The 3,508-nt window shown below is 42.6% G+C and overlaps 1 annotated feature.

Annotated features, from left to right (window-relative positions):
- Positions 2,203-3,032: an enhancer, noted in NCBI's record as "OCT4-NANOG-H3K27ac hESC enhancer chr3:86224689-86225518 (GRCh37/hg19 assembly coordinates)". NCBI's record gives its function as "activates a minimal SCP1, AML or CMV promoter by ChIP-STARR-seq in naive H9 embryonic stem cells {active_cell/tissue: H9 hESC(naive)}" and the evidence as "EXISTENCE:reporter gene assay evidence [ECO:0000049][PMID:30033119]".

Consider the following 3,508-nt stretch of genomic DNA (forward strand, 5'->3'; position numbering starts at 1 on the left):
CATTCAAACTAAGCCAACTGTGCTAGCATCTTTATAAAAATACTCAGTAATTAGGCCTTATATTTTGTCTTCAAGAAATTTGGTTCTCCATACTAGGCCACAGTTAATCAACCTAATGTGGAATAAGAATGAAATAAACGTATTTTTCCTATTTGAAAACACTGTCACCTCTGGTTCTTCTCTGATCTTTCCCAAGGAACAGTTACAGCCAGCAGTATCCCTGTTGCAGTCACTTCTGAGCTGTGGGGCTGTGGTGTCCTCCTGTGGACAGTGTCTGTGGACAGTGCCACTGAGGAGTGTGAATGCTACCCCGTGTTCTCTGCATCACTTCCACCTCACAGTCTCTTAGCACTAAACTATGAGCTTAGGCAATGGAATCCTGCTCTGTCACCTCACTCCACCTTCCTGCTCCTGCCTGTGAAAGTTCTCATAGGCCTCCCGATGTTTTCTTTTACATTTGACAAACAAGAAAATTGTAGAATTAATGCCAGGATATGACATATCTTGCAGTGAAATCTGAAGGAAGTCAATGCTTTCTCATCTCTATCCCAAGACTTCTTCTCCCATGAGGGGTATAGACACTGCATCTGTAGTGGTGAAAGGCTATTTCTTTCTACCCTCTGAAAGTTTGATATCTGGAATAAACTTGACAGAAGACAGACCAACAGGAGACTAGACATACAGATTTATTACATGTTTATTTACTGTGGTTCCACAAAGTATGAGACTTTAAGAAGGATCAGATGATTGAAGCTTAAGCAGCATTTTAAGCTACAGGGGGGAAAAAATCAGTGTTTTAAGTCTCCTGGAGGATGGTGGCAACAGCTACGGAAGGGTGAGGAGAGGACCTGCACTGCTAACAAAGATTGTCTTATTATGTAGATTAAGTCTGTCAGATTAGAGCCCTCAGAATAGGCAAAAAGTTTGTCCTGGCGTGATGAGCGCATCACAAGTGTATTGAGAACTTCAATCTCCCTTCCTGTGATACAAATTAACCTTTTCTGGTTCATATAGATTCCAGGGAGGAGTTTCATTAAAATTGCATTCTTTCTGGAGGAACTCCCCTTAGACAGATAAAGAAACTTCAGAGAAAGCACCAACCTGTGCTTTGGGAGAGGGAGATAGTGAGCAATGGTGGAGAAGGGGAGGGAAGGAGACAGGAGAAGCTCAGACATCTAGACCTTGGTTCTCTGGCTACTTCTTTAGTGCAAAGTGCTCAGCATGTCAAAGTGACATACTTTGGGGTATTGCTTTGTGCACCCCACCAAGTCTCAGGACATCTCTCTTCCTTCTCTTTTGGGAAAGATGGGAGTGCGAGGTAAGTAACAGAAGATTGAGCTCAATCTTCTGTATATTATTTCATTATAGCAATTTTTGTCACGACCCATCTAATATGTAGTGGGTAAAGAAGTGATGGGCTTTCAACCAATATTCATGCTGTCTTGATCCCCAAACTTTTCTCTAAATAATGAACACATTAATTTCCCAACCCTGCAAATGACTGCTTTTTCTAGGGATGGAGAATTTCATCTAGCTCAGCAGTTTAAAGGGCATATTAAAGAGCACTTTTTGTTATACCCCCTCATTGTCCTACTGCAGGGTCCCGCAGGTCCCCCTGCTTTCTTTCCGTGTCCTGACAAAATCACAGAATGCCTTGGCTGTTCTGTGACCCAGCCAGAGGCAGGTTTTTCCCAGCTGGCTTGAACTCAAATACGGCTTTTGAACATTCCCAGGCACTGATAAAAAGTATGGAGGTTTACCACTAAGGAACTGGCCCTGGCTGTGAGCAAATTCCTTAAACCTTCCTATAAATTCCATCCCTTGATGCTTTTGCTGCAGACGTGGGTAGGTCAAACATCCTTTTTCTGTCCTTGTCCTGCTGAAGGACTGCTGCAGCCCACTCTGCAGCTCAGTTTTCCGAATAAATGCTTTGAACTGATTACCCTGGTATTTAGTGTTTCTTTCTTTGGAACCCAGCTGGTCCCATCTTGGGATGGTTTGGGGCACTTGTTTGTAAGAATTCCCGTGCTGCTGATTTTGGAGTGCCTCCAGCCTCAGGTTTTTCAGGAGAAAACACCAGTCACCCTGTGCTTTGTCACAAAGCAGCCATTTTATCCTACAGACAGCAGTACTTTCAGGTTTTACAAGCTCTCTGAGTTTTGTTTGCTTTCAGTCTCTGGCTTATAATTATACAGACACACACACATGTTTGTGTGTGTACATGTGTGTGTGTGTTCTATAAAAAAAATCTGCATCAAATAAAAACTTTTCTGTCTCAAAAGCTTTACCCTACTTCCTGTTATTGTTCTTCATCTTTAAGCATCTGTTATCAAGCAAGTAATGCAAGCAGAGAGACATTGAACACACAGCAGGTTAAGTGTTTATTTGCTTTCTCATTTAAAAGTGAGACTGCATGGGGTAAAGCGCAGAATGGCCACAGCTCTTGCTGTCCAACATTCAGGAGGTGTGAGCCAATGTGCTCCTGTTGAACTCAATTGCATAACGCTGTAACATTTCACAGTATTTAGGGTTGTGTTAAGTATCTTTAATTCAAAGTAGAGAGGGGCTGTCCCTAGAAACAGAGTGGATGCTGTGCAAGGAGCCATCAGCCTGTGACCTAGATTTCAGAGTCAGGGGGCCTCCTGCCACACGCAGTCTGTTAACAGTGCCCACAGGGAAAATACAAACAAGAAACACCTGAGGTTCAAACACAAGCACTAAATGGAGACACTTACATCCCTGACTTCTTCATTTTAAAAAGAGATTTTTATTGTAAGAATTACAGGTAAATGTACTGGGGCCTGAACAAGAGAGGACCAATTTAACACTTCCAAAGGGACATCAGCCCTGACGGAAAGAAGAAAACACAGAATGAAGTGTTCTCCACAGGATCTCTTAATGGGTCACCAGTCTGTGAGGTCACAACCACGTAGGGAAAAACTTACATTTTCTCACTAATGTAAGAAGCAAAGAAGAGGCAAAAAAGGGAAAAGAGTTGATTAATTTTCTGGTTGGAATTGACTTTGCTGCTTCTGTGAGAACATGATGAGGAAGGCAGTAGGATGTATAATAAATCTAGCCCGGCTCCACCGGCTGGGAGACAATATTGCTATGCTAACAGTTCTGGGGTCATAATCCCATAATTCAGTGGTTTCACTCCAATGCATGTTCCACATCTTTTCCCACTGTGCTCATTTACAGTCCCAAACAGTTTCTTCCTGTCACTTCCCATTCGTGTCGCCTATTTCCATGTTTTTTCTTTTCTTTAGAGATAGGCCCTGTCACAACCCATCTTACTTCTGACTCATTGTCATCTTTCCTTGAGCTGTTCCAACCCCTTTTTTCTGCTGTCTCACTCAGTTGCCATCACCTAAAGGTTAATGAGGCAAACCTTCTCCTGGGTGAAAATGCTCCGTAGGGACTTTCTACAGCTTGGGAATCATGACCATCATCTTTTTTCTGTGTTTATGGCACACTTCAATTTCAGGGATGTAAGCTGTTTAGGTTT

Source organism: Homo sapiens, chromosome 3, assembly GCF_000001405.40.
Source record: "Homo sapiens chromosome 3, GRCh38.p14 Primary Assembly".
In the NCBI taxonomy this organism is placed as follows: Eukaryota; Metazoa; Chordata; class Mammalia; order Primates; family Hominidae; genus Homo; species Homo sapiens.